This window comes from Homo sapiens, chromosome 11, assembly GCF_000001405.40.
Source record: "Homo sapiens chromosome 11, GRCh38.p14 Primary Assembly".
NCBI lineage: Eukaryota > Metazoa > Chordata > Mammalia > Primates > Hominidae > Homo > Homo sapiens.
The window spans coordinates 31,081,523-31,102,748 of NC_000011.10; the positions used below are offsets into that span (position 1 = coordinate 31,081,523).

At 35.5% G+C, this 21,226-nt stretch overlaps 1 protein-coding gene across 19 annotated transcripts in view; it reads right to left on the reverse strand.

Annotated features, from left to right (window-relative positions):
* The window catches only part of DCDC1 (doublecortin domain containing 1), a 506,137-nt gene that overhangs the window by 217,920 nt on the left and 266,991 nt on the right, over window positions 1-21,226 (reverse strand). For 17 of the 19 annotated variants that reach the window (NR_170625.1, XR_002957144.2, XM_024448478.2 and 14 more), the window contains 3 exons: window positions 20,655-20,760; window positions 12,528-12,662; window positions 9,871-9,989 (listed from right to left, as the gene is read on the reverse strand). Coding sequence is in view for 16 of the 19 variants with exons in the window: in XM_024448478.2 (XP_024304246.1) it covers window positions 9,871-9,989; window positions 12,528-12,662; window positions 20,655-20,760 (360 nt within the window). In the remaining 3 variants the exon portion in view is untranslated. Of the gene's footprint in view, window positions 1-9,870; window positions 9,990-12,527; window positions 12,663-20,654; window positions 20,761-21,226 lie in introns of those variants that run through there. The other 2 variants (XM_024448476.2, XM_024448486.2) reach the window with 2 other exon arrangements.

The window sequence follows — 21,226 nt, forward strand, 5'->3', positions numbered from 1 at the left end:
TCGCTTGAACCCAGGAGGCGGAGGTTGCGGTGAGCCAAGATCATGCCATTGCACTGCAGCCTGGGCAACAAGAGTGAAACTCCATCTCAAAAAAAAAAGAAAAGAAAAGAAAAGAAATAATTCTGAAAGAAATGCAAATTTACTAGCATTTGTCAAATTTTATCAAGCTTCAATTCTGTTCTGGCATATCTTTTCCTAGAAAATTCTACTAAAACCATGTAGTCTTATATAATCTATAACCTCTGGGAGCTTACTAGTATCACTCCTGTTGGTAGTCTACTTAAATCTATAAATGTTGTCCCTAAATTTTACCGAAGTTGTAAAAAAACAAACCTCTCATGAAGTGCCACGTTAGGCTGGATGAAAAGGTATCATTCTAATTTACAATAACTTCTTAAAGAAATAAAATTTCTACACACAAAAGTGTATCTGCCTATTTTTCAAGACATTTCATATGCAGAAAAATCAAATTTAGATCCAACATACAGTGATGCTCAGATGAGACTGATTTAGAGAATGATATCATAGACTCTCCTCTTCTTGATCAAAAAGCACCAAGCTAAAAAGATTTTTTAAAAACAAAAAATAACAACGACATCAATAACGAAAGGAAGGGAAAATGGAGGAGCTATATTCCATCCAAGAATCAGTCATAATATCATGACATACACTGAACTAAGGTTGAGAGACTTGAGTTCTAGTCCTGCATCTAACGTTAACTAGACATATGACCTTTAGTAGATCACTTAGTCTCTAGTGGCCTTGCAATTTTTTTTTAATAATGATGATACTCTTATCACAACTGCCATTATCACCACCTCTACTACCACTAGTAAAGAGAATTTTGAAGCAGGCATTCTTCAGATCCTTCCTTCTCTGAAATCATATGACTTCCAAGTGTTCTCATTTTACAAGTGAGGGAACTGAGAATGATCTGCCCTGGGAAGCTTGCTAAGTAGTGTAACCCTATTAAGCATGCATATGTTAAATGTCTATATAGGTAATATAGATACAGATATCACCCATACAGCTATATCGATATGTGATATAGATACAGATATGATATAGATATAGATATCTATATCTATACATCACACACATATATGTGTGTAATACATCTACACATATATATGTGCATAATACATTTACACATATATATGTGTGTAATACATTTACACATATATATATATCTGTTTGTATGTGTTTATACACTCACACATTCATCATTTCCTGGTAACTATATGGAGGGCTATTATCATGCTTCAGGATCACAAGTTTCTTTTCTCAGACAGCCTCAAATGGCTCTGGTGTCTACCAATGCTACCCGGGCCAAAAGTAGAATGCACGTAGAGGATGGGGAAAGTGATTTCCAGTCCATAATTCATAACATAGTAAGAACAAAGACAAGGTTCATTCAGTAATCCACATAGTGTGAAATTACACATGGACAACTTTCTATTTGATGTTGACGTTTCTAATGGTGTAACCTATATGTGTTAATACAACTTCTGTCTGCTGCTATTCCTTAACATTATACAGCTACACTTGCTGATTGTATGTAAAGGAGTCCTTAAAGCAGCGTGTGTTTTTAACCTAGTCCGGTAATGTTTGCCAGTTGTCACTCCATTTTTAGCAAGACCTAAATGGCAATAAAAAAAATGGATGCAAAAAGCTATAACTGAAAAATTAACCTTGAAATATGAAAGACGGTAAAGATTACTTGAAATTGGACAGGGTTCCATGTAAGTCTGAAACTTCTTTTATGGATCATCTTTAAGATAGAACATTCAGTTCTGTATTTATTCTGATTTAAGAAACGTACAGACTAAAGATAGAAAAGAGGTCTCCTTTGGCAGGTCCATTAGTCCATTGATTTTACATGTAGGGGCTTTTGCAAATTCAAAAGCTTTTATGGGCCAGACAGGTATTAGAAATTCATGAAGCAGTGAGAGCCAGCATGAGGGCTGCCAAAGGGAACGGTGGAGAATATGGCAAACTGGAGGATGTATGTTCCATCTAAAGGGGACATCACCACTCAGTTCCTTCCTGATGGGTGTCATGACAGAATTCAGATCCAGTGCCATTTCAGATTTTTTCTGAAAAAATGAAAACCCATTTCAGATTTTTTCAAGAAAAGCCAGAAGTATGTCACTTTTGTGTGAAATCTTCCTATTTCTATAGGCTCACGACTAATTCAAAAATTGTAATAACATGCAAGCCAAACAAAATCCATGGGTTAACAGTTTTTAACCTTTATAATCTAATCTTCCTCTGTGCGTGCATGTGTGTGCAAGTGTTTGATGTTATGTTAGTTTTTTAGTTGAACACTAAAGTCCAGATACCCTGCATATCTGCAATCCTTAAAAATGAAGCAATATCAATATTGAATGGTGCTCTGAAAAATAACTTCGATTCAACTAGTTTATCTGTAAGGTGTCCAAAATATCTTTTGGAAAATAGCATTTTTAAATGATTTTTGAGATGGTTTAGGTCACCTGGTAAAGAGATTGTTGGTTTACCTTTCATCCATTAACAGTCAGATGCACAGATAGAAAAATATATATATTAAAAGGGAAAATACACACGAGCACTTGCTATATTGAATAAGAATAAGATTATTAACACCAAATGAGACATAATTGAACTAATGAGGCATGATATGTTTATAATATTCTTTTGTGAGTTGTCAGGTTGCTACTTTAAGTACTAGTTCTATTATTTCTAGCATGTAAAGGCTATGTCTTGATTCACAGCTTTTGTTAAAATTATATACTACTTAGAAAAAGAGAAAATTTTTATCTCTAGAAATTGCTGTCACATGAAGATATTTATTGTTATTTATAATAAAATATGGTTATCTTAAAAAAAAACAAGTCACACAGTCATTTTAGATGTCCTGGAAAAGATAAATGTGTTTGAAATTACCCAGAGGTGAGGTAAACTCTAAAAATTTTGGTCCTTCCTGCTTTCTAAAATGAAGTATAACTTCATAGTCAGTGAGAACTTCCAGTTTTCTAAATTTCCTATTTTGGCTCCACCTTGGATTTCGCTTTTTGGATAAAGGCAAGTTAAAAGGTGAGCAGGAGGGAGGATCCCTACACAATTAGGATGATATGCCTTTGTATTAATGCAACTTGCCTTCAACTTAAGTACTTCCCTCCCTCTCTTCCTTCCTTCTTTTCTAGATTAAACAAAATCTTTTCTTATTTTTGTTTGTTTGCTTGTTTCATGAACATCTCTTTTCTTGCCCAAGCTTTCTCCTCTATAGGTAATAAGAACATTGAGTCTTCAGCCTCAGCCCACTCAATTCCATGACAATCTTGACCAGAGTAGAAGTAGACCTCAATATTTCATCAGCTGATCTGGTCTTAGCCCACTGAGGTAATGGGCTTAGCCTCAATGGGCTAAGACCAGATCAGCTGATGAGATGTTGCAGTACTTTCAGTATCCGGTGTGCCTAGTGAGAGTCCTGGGCATGAAGAGTATGCCCATCAAGCTATCTATAACTTTCCAATCACCTGCCATTTTGACCTAGGCCATTGATGAACTATCCCATTGAGAAAGGCCTTCTCTCACTGTCTCCTTCTAAAGTAACCATTTAGTCATTCCTTATCATTTTTATTTTTTCTTAATTGTTTTTAAGGTTTTTTTTTTTAAAAAAAACTGCTTTATTGAAAAATAATTGACATACAGTATTGCACAATTAGTAGGCACATATTCAAAGGGTAAAATTTGGTAAGTTTTGAAATATATATACATCTGTGCAAGCAACACAACAATCAGGATAATGAACATATCCACATCTGTCATGCAAAATGAATCACTCCTAAAGTTTATTTATGCCCTTTTTTAATCTCTCCCTCCTGTCCCTTCCCCATCATCCTATCTTCAGGCAACCACTGATCTGCTTTCCATTACTCTACATTAGTTAGCATTTTCTAAATTATATATATATTGAATCAAACAATATGTACTTTTTTTGTTTTATTTTCTACTTTCCTTCAGCGTAATTACTTTGAGATTCATCTACATTGTTGAATATATCAAGAGTTTATTCCTTTTTATTGCTGGGTATTCTATTGTATAGATTATCTGTTCACCTATGGATGGGATGGACATTTGAGTTATTTCTAGTTTTTTTTTCTGTAGGCTTTTAGAAATAAAGCTGCTAAGAACATTGATTGATTGATTGATTGATTGATTGACACAGGGTCTCGCTCTGTCACTCAGGGAGAAGTGCAGTGGTGCAATCACGGCTCACTGCTGCATCGACCTTCCAGGCTCAAACAATCCTCCTGCCACAGCCTCCTGAGTAGGTGAGACTACAGGGGCACACAACCATGCTCAGATAATTTTTAATTTTTTAGTTAAAAATTTTTAATTTTTGTAGACACAGGGTCTCACTATGTTGCCCAGGCTGGTCTCAAACTCCCGGTCTCAAGCAATCCCTCCCTCCTCCCTCAGCCTCCCAAAGTTCTGGGATTACAGGTGTGAGCCACTATGCCTGGCCACTATGAACATTTATACATGAACAAAGTATACATTCTTCGTATGAATGTATGCTTTCATTTTCTTTGCATAAATTTCTAGGAGTAGAATGGCTGGGTCATAAGGTAGATGGATGCTTAATATTTTAGGAAAGTATCAACTGTTTTCCAAAGTAACTAAACCACTTTATATTTCCACCAACGACTTATGAGAGTTCTAGTTGTACCACATACTCACCAATACTGGTATGGTCAATCTTTTAAAGATTAGACATTCTAACAAATATGTAGTGATGCTTCATTGTAGGTTTATTTGGCATTCCCCTAATGAATAATAGTGTTGAGCATATTTTCATATGCCAATTGTATATCTTCCCTGTTAAAGTAACTCTCCAAATCATTTATCCCCATGTTTTCTTGAATTGTGTGTATGTATTTTGCAAATATATATGACTTGCAAATATTTGCATCTTGTGTGTGGCTTGTCTTTTCATTCTCTCTTCATTCACTGTCTTTCAGAGAATAGAAATGTTTAATATTGTTGAAGTGTAACTTGTCGATTTTTATTTTTGTGGATCATGCTTTTGGTGTCATATCTGAGAAAGTTTTGCCTAATGGAAGGTCACAAATAGTTTCTCCTATGTTTTTATCTAAGATACCTACAGTTTTAGGTTTTACATTTAGGTCTATGATCATTTAGAGCTAATTATTCTTAAGCTATTCTTGCACTCCTGGGATAAACCCCACTTGTTCATGATACATCTTTTTATAAATTGTTGTATTCCATTTGCTAAAATTTTGTTAATCATTTTTTGCACTTATAGTCATGAGAGATACTGGTCTATGATTTTTTCCCTAAGTTTTGTGACCAGGATAATGCTGACCCCCTAGAATCAGATGGGAAGTATTCCTTCTTATTTCTTTTCTGGATAAGATTGTGTAGAATTGGTATTATTTTTCCTAAAATGTTTGCAGAATTTCCCAGTGAAGCTAGTGAAGTAATCTGGGTCTGGAGTTTTCTTTGTAGGAAGGTTTTCCATTTCTTTAAGAGATGTAGGACTATTCAGGTTTCCCATTTTTTCTTGAGTAGGCATTGGTGATTTGTGTCTTTTAAGGGAATTGGTCTTTACCACCTAAATGACAAATTTACTGGCACATGGTTGTTCAAAATATTCCCTTATCATCCCTTTAATAACTGCGTGATATCTCTCATTGCTGATACAGGTAATTTGTGTCCTCTCTTTTTATCTGAACAATCTGACTAGAGATTTATTAGTTTTTTTTAATCTTTTCAAAAAAATCCAGCTTTTAATTTCATTGGTTTTCTTTTTTTTCTATTTTACTGATTTCCACTCTTTTATTATCCCATTTCTTCTGCTTACTTTGTGTTTCATTGGCTCTTACAGTTTCTTAGAGTGGAAGCTGAAGTCATTGATTTAATATCTTTCTTCTTTTCTTACACAGACATTTATATAACATTCCCTCTGAAAACCTCGGCAGTGTTTCATAAATTTTAATATGTTGTATTTTCATTTTCATTCAGTTCAAAATACTTGCTAATTTCCATTTTGATGCCTTCTTTGATTCATGGGTTTGTTATAAATGTGTTCAAATATCTGGGGGTTTTGCAGAAAACTTGCCACTATATTTTAGTTTAACTCCATTATCATCAGAGAACACACTCTATATTACTTGAATTTTCTTAAACTTATTTAAACTTGTTTCATAGCCATTATATAGACTATTTTGGTTAACATGCTATGTACTTTAAAAAATGCATCTTCTGCTGTTATTGAATGCATTTTTCTATAAATATCAATTAGGTAAAGTTGGTCTGTAATGTTATTCTAGTCATCTATATCCTTACAGATTTTTTCACTTGTTCTGTTAATTATGAAACAGGGTATTATTGTTGCTCACTAGAGTTTTAGATGTTTCTCTTTTTCCTGGCAATTCTATCAGCTTTCACTTCAGGTATTTTGAAGCTGTGCCATTTTTAAAAAATTAGAATCGTTATGTTCTCGTGATAAATTAACCCCTTAATCATCAAATGGCCCTATTTATCCCTAGTAATATTCTTTTTACTGACGTCTACTTTATCTGATATTAATATATCCATTCTTACTTTCTTTGTATTAATTTTATCATTGTATATATTTTTCATGAATTTACTTTCAACATATTTGTTTCTTTATATTTAAAGTTAATTTCTTATAGGTAGCATATAGATGGATGTTGTTTTTTATCTAATCTAATAATGTCTGATTATTAAATGGGGTGTTTACATTATTTATATTTAATGCAATTATTGATACACGTGGCTTTAAGCCTACCATCTTGTTATTTATTTTCTATTTCTGTTCTTTGTTCCCCTTTTCCTCTTTGTCTTGATTTGGATTAATTATTTTTAATATTTCATTTTATTTACTTTTTTGGCTTGTTAGCTATAACTCTCTACTATTTTAATGATTGCTTTGGTGATTATATATTTTTAACTTATCATAATCTACTTTCATTTGATATCACATCATTTCACAAATGGTATAAAAAAATCTTTCTTCCATTTCTCTCCTAGTGGCATTTGTGTTATTTCCATCACACATTTTATTTCTACATATTATCTCCACAATATATTATTATTATCACTATTGCTTTAAACAATCAATTATTTTTTAAAGAGACAAAAATAATTAGCACTGTGGGGTTTTGGGGGTGTTTTGTTTTTGACACACAGGCTTGCTCTGTCACTCAGGTTGGAGTGTAGTGGTGCAATCATGGCTCACTATAGCCTCGACCTCCTGCCTCAGCCTCCCAAGGAGCTGGAACTACAGGTGTAGACCTTCACTGAACCTGACTAATTTTTCTATTTTTTGTAGAGATGGAATTCCACATGTCACCCATGCTGGTCTCAAATTCCTGGGCTCAAGTGATCTGCCCACCTCAGTATCCCAAAATGCTGGAATTACGGGCATGAGCCACCATGCCAGGCCTAGTAGCATTGTTATATTACCTATATAGTCACCATTGCCAGTGCTCTATATTTCCATCTGGTATCATTTTACTTCTGTCTGAAGGACTTCCTCTAACATTGCTTGTCATGAAGATCTGCTGGTGATGAGTTCTTCAGTTTGTGAATATCTTAAGGTCTTTATATTGCCTTAATTTTTGAAAGACATTTTCACTGGGGAAAGTTTTCTATATTAACGGGTTCCTCCCCACCTCCTCTTTTAGTATTTTAAAGATGTTTTTCCACTGTCTTCTTACTTCCATTGTTACCAACAAGAAATCTGCTGTCAGCCTTATTTTAGCTCCTCTTGTACATAATACGCCTGTTCTCTCTGCTTTTAAGATTTTCTCTTTATCACTAATTTTAAACAATTCTATGATAATGTGCCTTGGTTTTGTCTCTTCATGCTTCTTGTGCTTGGAATTTGTTGAGTTCCTTGGATCAGTGGGTTATAGCTCTCAATTTTGCACATAGAAATTGTTCAGACACTATTTCCTCCAATATTTTTCTTTTCCTTGCTTTAACCTGTCAGAGACTATAAATACTCAGAAATTGGGCCATATGAAATTTTCTCACATCTCACTGATGCTCCGTTCTTTTTTTTTTTTTTGAAGTATTTGTTTTCTCTCCGGTTTTCCTTGTGAATAGTTTTGTTATCTTCTCAAGTTCACTGCTATTTTCTTCCACATTGTCTAATCTGGCATTAGACATGTTTAGTATACTTTGTCTCATATATTGTAGTTTTAATCTCTTGAAATTTGAGTTCTTTTATATCTTCCATGTATTTAGTTAACATGTTCAATCTTTCCTCTAGCTTCTTGAATATACAGAATACAGTTAAAACAGCTGCTTTAATGTCCCATCCAGTAATTCTATCATCTGTGTCATTTTTGGGTCAGTTACAATTGATTGATTTTTCTCTTTAGTATAACTGTGGACTAAATGAGCTGAAGCATCTCTGGCTCCCTGTTCCATAGTTTCGCATTGGCATTGGCATTGGCATTGCAAGTTCATGCTCAATGTGAGTCTAGTTTACAGAACTCATTTTGCTTCAGAAATCTTATTACCCAGTCTGCGTACAGTTCCATACCAAACTGAGACTTGCTTTAGGGTTGTCTGCCACTACTTAGGAACTATGTATTTAGGACTCTATTAGCACTGGAGAGTTTGCATAACACCAAGCTAACATCTTCCTTTCCCATCTGCCTGATTTTTTCAAGTGATGTACCCTGCTCATCCACTAAGGTATCTGCTACCACACTTGGCGCTCACTGGCAATTGTCTGACTGGACTTTAACTGACTGACAGTGTAGTGTTGTGGCTAAGTGTCTACTTTCAGGTTATAGGGCCTGACTGCTTGGGTTTGCCTTCCTGCCAAACCACTTAGTAGGTATGGCCTTGAGCAGGTGATTAACTTCTCTGTACCTCAATATCCTCACCTGTAAAGATAATAATGATACCTACCCTATCAGATTGTTGTAAGGATAAAATTTGACAATGAGATTTAAGGACATTAGAATAGTATCTGGCTTAGACACTTTGTTGTTAGAGTAAGCAGTGCAGACTGGATCTATACCTGGGAATTTGAGTCTGTAGATCACATTCTTAATCATTACATGATATCCTTATATCTGCTTTGCAAGTTAGAGAAAACTTCCCTTCTGTATTTATGGCTGGATCAACTTCTCTGATGATTGCAGCCTAAGCATATCCTAAGTGCCTATATAGCCAGAAGTAGTTGGTAATGGCTTTTTAAGTCCTGAGGTATGATAGAAATTGTTTTTTTCAACACTAAGTGAAAACAAACATCAAAACAAAAGACCAAGAAAAAAGAAAGTGACTAGAAAACAATATTTTGAGACTCTTGGAGATAAATCAACTTTCTTCCTCAATCTGCTTTCCTTTATTATATCTTCCTAAATCAGAAAAAAACAAATAAGAAGGACACTTACAGTCCGTTACAAGCCAGCATTTTTTGGTCTCTGTGATTATTCTTTCACAGTTCAATGTTTTGTATTCAGAAGATGGAAAAAGGTTATGAATATACACAAAAATTTAAGTTTGTTAATTAACAATCAAAATGGATATAAAGAAATGAGTTCTGATAATTATAGAGTAAAGCAGCAGTTTGTCTACGACATAGATACATGTTGAAGGCCAACATTTCACCTTTTAAATATCTTTAAAACACTACCAAACTAAGTGGCATACATTTTCAAGCTTACTTTGGATTCAGAAATTAATATTGTTATTATGAACACAAATTTAAACATTGAATGAATATTCAATCCAAACCAGGAGGCATCACAATTGAACTGCTCAGAATTCTTGAAATTAGCATTTATTATCTTGAGCTAAATAATTTATAAGCATTACCTTTTCTGTAAGATTAATTTATATCCTTCTAGTGATGTTCCCTCAGCAGCCTTGACTCTGATAGGATGACCAATAGCCAGGCAGCCCTGAGTTATCGCTCGGCTCAGGATCATTCCAGTCTTCCAATGAATAGAGAGGGGGAGAAAGGTCTAAATAAGTTAAAAGAACCAGAAAATTCAACAATGTGTCACAAATAGTGAGGTCATTATGCCTGGATAACCCTGGATATTAACAGTTGCTGAAAGTGAAACACTACCCACAACTTAGCAGTCAGCGAGCCCTGCTCAGAATCAGTAATCTTCTGTCCAACAAGGGTGGCATTTTACAGTTCAGTGCGAAATAAAACAGACCTTGATATCTTCATTTGTCTTTTTTTTTCTGTGCATATTTCACAGTGCAGCAATTTGGGGTCCATCACGTGTCACTTGCTGTAGTTATAACTACAGAGCTTACCGGAAATATGTATGCACAGAAAAAAAATAGTGCAGTGAACTGAAAAGACTGAAACAAATCCTTAACCTTTGTATCAATTTAAAGTTTTACTCTGGGTCTAAATATCATGGGTTAAACATTTTAAGGTGGTTTGTGAACTGCTTTTATTTTAAATGTTAGGATTTTCTGCCAAGGAAATTAAAGGGGAATATTGCTTGAAGGGCCATTTAACCATTTTCTTACTTAGTGAGTCAACACAACATTTTTTATAAGTGACAACCATAGAGAAATTTGTCTACATCTACTGGAGATTTATGGCACGTAAAATTCTCTCTTAATAGGTAAAAAGATGTATTTTTAAAACAGGAAGAGAGAGTTCAATCTTAAAGGATTTTCAGAATTGTTTCCTTTTTAGCATATACTTTATTTCTCATGTGTTTGCAGTGTGGAAAAGAAACATGATGATGACTGATGACTTACGAAAAATATTTCTAAAAAAAATTGGTTTTAGTAAGTACTGAATGAAATCCTTGTTTGATCATGCTTGTCTATACAGAAAAAAGAACTGCTTAGGGTGAGGAAAGGCAGCCATCATTTATTAAGCACTTTCTGTATACCAGACACCATGCTTGAACATCACATATGCTTTCTCATTTCATCTTCACAGCAACTGTGCAAAGCAGATAAGACTAACATCATTTATAGAAGAGAAAACAGTAGTTCAATGCAGCTAAGTAACTTTCCCAATGTCACACAAGAGATTTCAATTATTTAATAACTCCAAAACTATACTCTTTTGGTAGGCATTCCAATTATTTTTGAGGAGATTTTAGACAAGTACATGTTTTCTGCTATCATGAAATTCTAGAAACAGATACCATGAAATGAAAGAATATGGGATCTGAGAATGGACCTTCCATAGCAACTGGTCCAACTCTTTTTGATAGAACACCAAGGCCTAGATACCATGTGTGACTTGTCTGCTGTCATATAGTTATTCAGTGGCAGTGCTGGGACTAAAACACTTCCATTATGCTCACAGGTGAGTCAAATATAGAGGAGTGTTTTATATCACAATGAAAGTTCTGAAGTCAAAGAGACCAAGAATCTTTCTTCTGCTATTACTAACCTCAGTTTCTTCAGCTGTATAATAAAAATCTGCACAGTTCTTGTAACATTAAATGAAATAATGAATGTGAATAAAGTACCTAATGTAATGTCTGACATACAGTATTCAACTAAGTGGAGATGTTATTATTATTAAATCAGAAACAAAATACCATGTAAAAAGGGCAAATAGTTAACATAGACTCCAGCTGGAAATCCAGATTTCAGGAAAAGCTCATGTAAACTTACTATGCTGTGATATATGAAATAAATAATATGTCTTAGTACCTTTGTGTCTTAATTATTCTATATGTTTGTTTTTAACTTTTAAAGAACAATAGCTAAGGGCAATCCAAAATTTCATTTGCGAAAATAGTGTCAATCTTCCCTCCTCCCAGCAAACTTCATTGGGTGACTTCGCATTCACAGGAGTGCTAAGTAGTAGCAAAATCATCTGTGATGACGGGACAAAGGGAGATACAGGAAAGATAATTGTGAACTGCATCATCTCTTTTCAACATAAATACATATTTACAAAATGTACTGCAGTAGTAAGATGAAAGGAAAGGACAATTTTATGTTCTTCTATAAGTCATATACAATAGTACAATAATAAAGTGAAAAATATTAAATATTACCAACACACAGGAACAAAATGTGTTAGGCACTGCTCATGTTTATACTCAGGGATTTCTTTTAAAACTACGTCCTTGCTAAGACAATATGCAAAGTTGGTATATGTTGGTAATCTACCAGGCTCAGGAAAGCTGAGGGGTAAAACTCAAAATGAAGATCTAGGAGTAGAAGCACATTCAGACAAATCTCATGAAAATGATGAGTCTGTGGACTACAAACAAATTCTATGCTTGGTTTAAATACACTGTGAGGTATAAACTAATCAGCAGCATGTCTGATAGTGAACTGAATGCTCATTTGAGAATCTACAGAAGTCCCGTGGGCTAGGCAATACCAACGGCAGAGATGGCATCTATAACAGCCAACAATTTATCACGCTTTCACTTGTATGCCCATGTGCATGAGAGCACCAGGTGCCAGCAAGTGCCGTGAGCCAGCAAGCAAGGGGAGGTCACTCAGCAAAAGCAGACACTCTTAGGTACCTTGGTGATCAGCCACACACTGGCTACAGGCCACAGGATCGATGGCGCTATTTGACTCCTGCTGCTTGCTTCACTGCCTGAGAAACTCCACTTTCCAATGGAAACAGAGGCATGAAGGACAATATTGGGATCTACCTGTATCATAAGAAGAAGTATGCATTTTTAACTCATAGTCTAAGAGTTAAACTCCTCAACACACTTACCCAAAATAAGTTATCCTAGAACATTATTTATTCTGATTGATACCTCTTTTCAAAAAGTAGCATTCAATCCCCTTTAATTCAATTCAATCAATATTTGTTGAGCACCAACTCTATTATGCAAGACCCTATGCTGTGTGGTGTGGAATATTATAAAATATTTTTTCCTGACCCAAAGAAACATACAACAGAGTAGAGGCAACTTCTCTCTCTCTCCCCACCTGCCTTTCATGTTAAGCTCCACATGAATGATTAAATAGTGTTATTATAGGCATGAAAAAATGGTACGCTCATTTCTGCTGGAGTAACCTAAAGGTGGAGCATCTTGAAAGACGTTAACATGTAAAGCAGGCCTTGAAGGATGGGGACAGTTTGACAGGAGTAATAAAGAATAAAAAGGTATTCCAAGTAAAGGCAAGGAAGCTTAATCAATGTGTCTTAGGATCTGCAGGTAGACTCAAAAAGTAAATTTGTCCAAACTGTAGAAAGTGTCAAGTGCAAAGCTATGGAGTCAGGTGGACAGCAGGGAGCCAGTGAAAGCCTTCTTTTTTTTTATATATATACTTTAAGTTCTGGGGTACATGTGCAGAACAAACAGGTTTGTTACATAGGTATACACGTGCCATGGTGGTTTGCTACACCCATCAACCCGTCATCTACATTAGGTATTTCTCCTAATGCTATCCCTTCCCTAGCTCCCCACCCACTGACAGGCCCTGGTGTGTGATGTTCCCCTCCCTGTGTCCCTTTGTTCTCATTGTTCAACTCCCACTTATGAGTGAGAACATGTGGTGTTTGGTTTTCTGTTCTTGTGTTAGTTTGCTGAGAATGATGGTTTCCAGCTTCATCCATGTCCCTGCAAAGGACATGAACTTTTTTATGGTTGCATAGTATTCCATGGTGTATATGTGCCACATTTTCTTTATCCAGTCTATCATTGATGGGCATTTGGGTTGGTTCCAAGTCTTTGCTATTGTGAACAGTGTCACAATAAACATACATGTGCATGTTTCTTTATAGTAGAATGATTTATAATCCTTTGGGTATATACTCAGTAATGGGATTGCTGGGTCAATGGCATTTCTGGTTCTAGATCCTTGAGGAATCGCCACACTGTCTTCCACAGTGGTTGAACTAATTTACACTCCCACCAACAGTGTAAAAGTGTTCCTATTTCTCCATATCCTCTCCAGCATCTGTTGTTTCCTGACTTTTTAATAATCAAACATATCTTGCTAACAGCAGATTTTAGTAAGGTTGATCTGATAAGGGTAGAGGATAACAGATTGTAGAATGAAGACATCAAAGACAGGGAAAATAGCTGGGAGTTCACACAATCTCCTAAGAATAAAGAAATATGAGCTGAGACTTTAGAGATAGTTGTGGGGATGGATAGGGGGTACTGAAGGGGGAGACATTGCACCCACATCTCCTGTGTTCCTTATCAGATTACATATGCCAAAGGTGTTGTGCACCTTCTAGCATTGCTCACTTAGACCTAATTGTCAAATTATTAGGCACTCACATCACTTGTAGGAATTCTATTACTTCATACTTAATAAACTTTATCTCCTAAATTATACGATCACTTTCACTGAGTAATTATTCTAGGTTTTTTAGTACCAATATTTATTTGTGTATGCTTATAGGAATATGCCAATTTATATTTAAAACCCAATAAATGATGTTGCTTCAATAACAATTTATTTCCTAACACTAAAACATCCATTCTACATCTATGCTAATGCTAGATATTTGTTGAGTAGCAAATTATTTTTTTAATGCACAAATTCAATGATGATTTAAAAGGAAAAATTTTACAAGTGTGATCAGGTACTATCATAAGGATAAAACTAATATATGTGGTAATTATTCTGTAATGAAAGTCACTTCTCAAGAGAAGAAAACGTCATAAGACTCCTATATGTGAAAATGAAATTTTAAAAAATACAGCAACACCACCACCTAAGCAGATTTGACTTATAGTGCTTACAGTGCCTGGATTCTGGAGGGGAATCCCCACAGTTTCTGAACAATGATAAACTACATTGTACTAATCCATTTGCCACAGGACTCAGCATTTAAAGTAGCAGTGTTACTCAACCTCCTAACTCCAAGTTGCCATCACACTCAAAACTCCCCTCTGCAACTGGGCAGAAGATTGTTTTGACTGAAATTAGTCAGACAGAAGAACCATACAGCCAACTGCTTCTTTGTACAGCACCTGCTGCCAGCGCCTATATTCTTGTTATCTCCACAACATGGTTTAATCTTTTAACAGTTGGCTTATTGGTGAAGAGTGAAGGGGTCCTTTGTCTCTGCCTTGGGCTGGCACCCAGTATTAACACCATGCTGTTCTTCAAGAGATATTTTGCTGGACAGTTCCCAAGTGATTCTACATAGAACAGACACAGCAAGGCCCACTAACCCAGCTTTATATTGTGTTATTAAAAAAAAAAAAAATCCTGCCAAGTCTGGAGTTCTGATACGTTTAAAACTGACAATGGCCATTACATTTTTCTTCTGTGACTTCACTTTTTAAATTAATTTGATAGCTTAGCTTTAGACCAAACGAGGGTGGGAAGTTAAGGACTATGAAAGTTGGGATTTAAGAAAAAAAAGTGCTCTGACAATCCACAACATAATATGCCATATGTATGTATGTGTGTGTGTGTGTGTGTGCGCGCGCCCGTGTACACACATGCATGCGCATATGTGTTTAAGAACATTTAGATTGAGACTGGTGTCTAAATGCATACTATCATATATGTCATTAAAAACATTTTTAAGTCTTACTGAGAATCAAAACAATTCTCTTTTATTCTTTTAAACACTTACACATATAGGTCCTTTATGTGACCATTATAATTTTGTTTTCTGAATAAACTGTGCTGATGTAGAAGCAGTCAATGATAAAGCAATGCATACACATGCTGGGCCAGTTAAAACTTGTTTAATTATTTTTCCCAAATAGCTAATGAAGGTGGAGTAGCCTTCAATATTCTTGTGCAAATTCAAAATAAGAAAAGAACCACTTATGATCTTCTCTTGCACATTTACTAAGAAACAGAACACGAGACAATGAAATGTTTCTTGAAAGAAGTTCATAGAGCACAACCCTCATTTGAACAAATTGTTTATTCTATTGCAAAGAAATTTTACATGATGTTCATTTTTGATAATGCATTTAGGGTCAATTTGAATAATTTTACACATAAGTAAAAATCACAGCTAATTAAAGAAAATGTTATACAATCTCTTTCCTCATGTAATTTCTGTTCTCTCTTATTGTTTCTATGCTCTAACTTTATAGCTGACCAGTCCACCTACTTCTAAGGCCAAGAAATGGAAAGAGTTGAGAGTAGAAAATATCAGCAAGGCAAAATTATGCAGTCAAACACGGCAAAATATCTAAGATCTAACTGGTCTGAATATAAGAGAAGGACTTGGGCTTTTAAGTCAAGTCCCGTGTCCTATGCTAATGGCAATCCGTTCAAAATTTTAACTAGCATTTTGTATTTGCTTCAGTATATACATAATTTATACAAAATATCATTTTTCAATGACTTGCTCTCCAAAGAAATAGAACAGCAAAGAGTTGTTTGTCGTTTCCCAGCCTCCTTTATGACAAAAAGAATAATGCCAGAATAATACAGTACTTCAGTAATTATGAATGCATTCTACTAGCATCCATAACTACTGAATTTACAAGCTAAATTGTAACAAGTATACCATAATTCCAAAATTATAATTTGATGTTTTTCTTGCCGTTTCCATCATACAGAAAGTTGTCACTAATGTCCTGCTGATGTCTGTGAAGCCATGTACTGAAAGGCTAGAATTAAAATAAGTTTCCTTTTGAGTCTGGCAGAATATATGACCTGCCAAACACTGGAGTCCATTTTTCTGCTATATTTTCCCATAACCAGGCATTCCTAAAGCTATTCTCCTCATGAAATATCTCATTTGATATTAACTACCATGAAGTTTAAATCTCACCCATTTCATGGAAACATCTAGTTTGATTGCCCTTAAACTGAGTCAATCTAAAAATGTTGCCAATTTAAGTAACAATAGAGAGATGTTGAAAAATGTATTCACCAAATTGTCAATGTGTAGTAGATTCCAAATCTGTTTTTGAAATGGATAAGAGAGCAACAGGTTGTAATTGTCAGGGTTATATCTGACTCCCACATTACAAATGGGGATTATATGTTCCAAATTTTTCTCTGTAGGAAAGGTTCTACTTGTCAATAGGAAATTTAAAAGAACAGTCAGGGGCTAGGCACTGATATCTCTATCTCAAGCCAATTTTAAAACATATGCATCAAGAATATCGGCTTTTGCCTCCCTTCTCTCAACCCCTGTTGTAATCCTCTTAGTGTGTTCTCTACCCCAATGAGCAGCAAGATTCTACAATAAAATGCCCTATAGATATCCATCACCTCTGCCTGAATCCATCTTTAAAAGTGCTCCTTTTCAGGTTATTAAATTACTATTCCCAATGCACTGATCACCACTCTGTAAATAATTGGAGACATTTTTCTGAAAGGATTTTAAAGGCTTCACAGCTATGGAAGAGCTGTTTGTCTTTGAAAGCTTCTCTTTACTAGCCAGTTTATCAAATTTTTGCTTTCTTACAGTACTATTTTTGTTGAACTAAAATTTTTAAAAACTAAAAATGCCATAGCATATAACCATTTACTTATGATGAGTGTTTTCTCATTTTCACTAAATCATTAGAACCATTTAATAATGATAAAATAACTGTGGACTGTTATTCTCTCATTTTTCAACATTTTAGAAAATAGATTTATCTTGTTATAGTTAACCCACTTTGACATAAAAGCAAAGAGAAAAGCCTCCTTTGAGGTCCTTTTCTCTGATATCTCTTTGCTATCCAATTGTTTTTAGGTTTGAGTTGGTCTCTGTTGAATTACTTAATCGACTATTAAATTCAATTCAGGTCAGCTAACTGAATATCTAGATATTGCATCAGAGACAGGGATGATCAGGATGTCCTTTGCCTTTGAGAAATTTCCAATCTAGCAGGGAGGATAAGACAAGGACCTCCTGAGTTATCTTCCTAATATGAAGATCAGATTACATCTTGCCTCTGTTCAAATATTTTCAATGGCTCCTTGCTTTCTACAGAAAAACCAGAATTCCCTAATATTGAATTAAGACCCTTCATGATCTGATCCTAACATCCCCAATAGAGCCTACCATTCTCCCCCATCTACGCTGATGTAGCCTGAAATATGCTCAAACTTGGAGCCTAGTTGATTTTGAGCCATGCAAGAAGTTGTAAGAGGAACAGCATCTAGTTCAATGTCATTGTAAATGGCGCAGAAGGGAAACGTCATATCTGGTTTGGAAATGGGGTTGGGGTACAGAAGGGTTTCATGAAGCAGTCACAAATCAGATAGGGCTACAATGATGGGCAGGGTTTTTTTGTTTGTTTGTTTGTTGTTTTTTTTTTTTTTTTGAGACAGAGTCTCGCTCGGTTGCCAGGCTGGAGTGCAGTGGCGCAATCTCGGCTCACTACAACCTCTGCTTCCCGGGTTCAAGCAATTCTCCTGCCTCAGCCTCCCAAGTAGCTGGGACCACAGGCATGCACCACCACACCCAGCTAATTTTTGTATTTTCAGTAGAGACGGGGTTTCACCATGTTGGCCAGGATGGTCTCAATCTCCTGACCTCCTGATCCGCCTGCCTTGGCCTCCCAAAGTTCTTGGATTACAGGCGTGAGCCACTGCACCCAGCTGATGGGCAGGATTTTAATAGCCTTTATTGAACATGCCAAACCCTGTGCTAGGATATGGCACAAGGGTGACAGAGAAGGCTGGGTGTGGTGACAAAGAAAGGTGGAATTCTAGTCAAAGAGGTCCACATGGGCATAACAACAGAAATCATGGAGTGCTTTCAGAAAAAAAACAAATAACAATCTGGCTTGGCTAACAGACAAAGACCATATTAGAGAATATTCAGCCTTGAAAGCTAGGTTATGGCTAAACAAGCAAACAAAAAAATCCATTCATCAAATATGTATTGTGCATTTGCCCTACATTCAAGACTTTGCATTAGTGCTTAGGAACACAAAGATGAGTAAGACAATGCCTGTGCCCAAAGAATCCTCAGTTTAGTGAAGGAAAAACACAAAAGCAAATACCTATACCAAAACACAAACTCAACAACAATTTTCAAAGGAAGATAATGAGTCCTGAGAATACAAAATAAAGATTAATTCTTTCTGGAGTATCTGAGAAGGCTTTATGGAAGAGTAAGTTGAGTAAAGCCTTAAGAAGCAAGTAATGGTAATGGCTGGGGGTATATCCCAGGCAAAGAACAATACAAGCCATGGCACAAGTATACGAAAGTGGAAAGCATGTTCTGGTGCACAATTGATTAGCCTGACTGTAATGTACAGTATACAGAGCAAGAGGAGAAAATTGGAAAGGTAAGTTGAGAGCGGAGGTAGATTAGAGGAGAATCATGGGGATCAATGAAGTCCAGACGAAAATTCGGAACTTCAAATGGCAACAGCCAGGCATACATGTGTTTTCAGCAGGAAAATAATGCTACAGCAAAAATCTAATGATGAATACCAACAGGATCAGATCTACAGTAAATAAATATTAATGTCAGATGAAGGCAAAATACAAAATACATTAATAAGTACATCATTCTAGTTACTTTAATCTTCTATATTTTCTCAAAACCCGGCAGAAGTAGAAATATTTGATTCTATTTTTATAAGTACACTATTTAGATCCATATGCTCCTTGAAATAATCAATATTTTCAGTTTAAATTTTGACATAATTGAGAAACTGAATGGGGAGCATAAAGAAATTTAAAAAGGCAGGTTGGGGCAATGTGTCTCTTGCATTGACTCTTGGAAATACAGGGCCCAATTGATAGGAAGTCCTACTTTCTTTGGACTGCTCTGTCTCTGTGAGTGACTTTTGATTTTGATTTCATGTGTTCAAAAATTAAAGCTTACACTGCTAAAATGAGCAACAACCGTACACAGCACTTGCCAGCTAAGAAAAACAAAATAAGTATTCCTTCTTTGGAGATAGATTTAAAACGCCTTTCATAATTGAGCTGGAGGGAAAAAAAAAAACATCTTCTTTACTGGAAGGATAAATTTCTAAGTGTAAATTGATATGGACCTTCAGGATTGGGTTGCCATGAGTTAGGTTTCCTAAAGAACTTGTGTTCCTTAGATGCATTGACCTGTAGAGCAAATAGATCAGATCCTAAACTATAGAGATAGCAGCCATCTTAAAGACTTCCTTAAATAACTCCAACTTATTATTATAGCTATTAACAGTACAAAGAAAATATGTCAAACAATACAGCTTAAATAACATAAATCAGGTATAAGTTTTTCAAGTAGGAATTAAATATATTGTTTTCCGTTTTGAAGTGCCTGGTTAATTAACAGGAAGTAAAGAATAACACCTGCCCCAATATTTGTAAAAATAATTTATAGTTTAAAAAACTGTAATATAATTTATAGTTTAAAAAAACTGTCACAGTCCAGGCGCAGTGGCTCACGCCTGTAATCACAGCAATTTGGGAGGCCGAGGTGGACGGATCACTTGAAGTCAGGAATTCGAGACCAGCCTGGCCAACATGGCAAAACCCCATCTCTACGAAAAGTACAAAAATTAGCCAGGCATGGTGGCGCGTGCCTGTAGACCCAGCTACCTGAAAGGCTGAGGCGGGAGAATCGCTTGAACCCAGGAGGTAGAGGCTGCAGTGAGCCGAGATGGCACCACTGCATTCCACCCTGGGTGACAGAGCAAGACTCCATCTCAGAAAAAAAAAAAAAAAACTGTCACAAATATTCATTATATATTGGTTGAGTGTCCAATACATAAAGTGCACCTTTTAAAGTACAATAACTAAAATCCCACCTTGTTCTGTAGAAAATGGTTCTCCAAGTCCACCTTTTCAAACTGGTCAGGTATCTGTTGACTGGTACAGTTGAAATTAATTGGAAATCCCTCACAAACTTCCCAACTAAGAAAAGTAAAATACGTAATTATTTTTATTAGAATAATATGCATTTAATTACAATGCCCTTTACTCTTTAATTATAATACTCTTTATGCTTTATGTATACTCCATTACTAATAATTTATATATCAAATCTTGCCTGGAAAGTACCAGCAGTCATTGGGGAATAAAGCTGTTATTTAAACAACTATCAATGAGTATGTCCCTCTAGACATATTTAGCAATAGGTTGTCACTGGCTGGACTGAGTGATCTCATCAGACTGCTTTTGGTTCTCTGTATTTGCCTTCTACTTCAGCATTTTCAACTGTTTATTAAAAAGAGCTACAATTTGTTAAATTATAAGGTTGTTATAGCTAGGTGGGAACTTATAGATAGATTACCTAATCCAAAATAGTATCAGGATCTGCTGCAGTGTCCAATATGGTAGTCACTAGCTACCTATTCCTATTTAAATTTAAATTAATTTA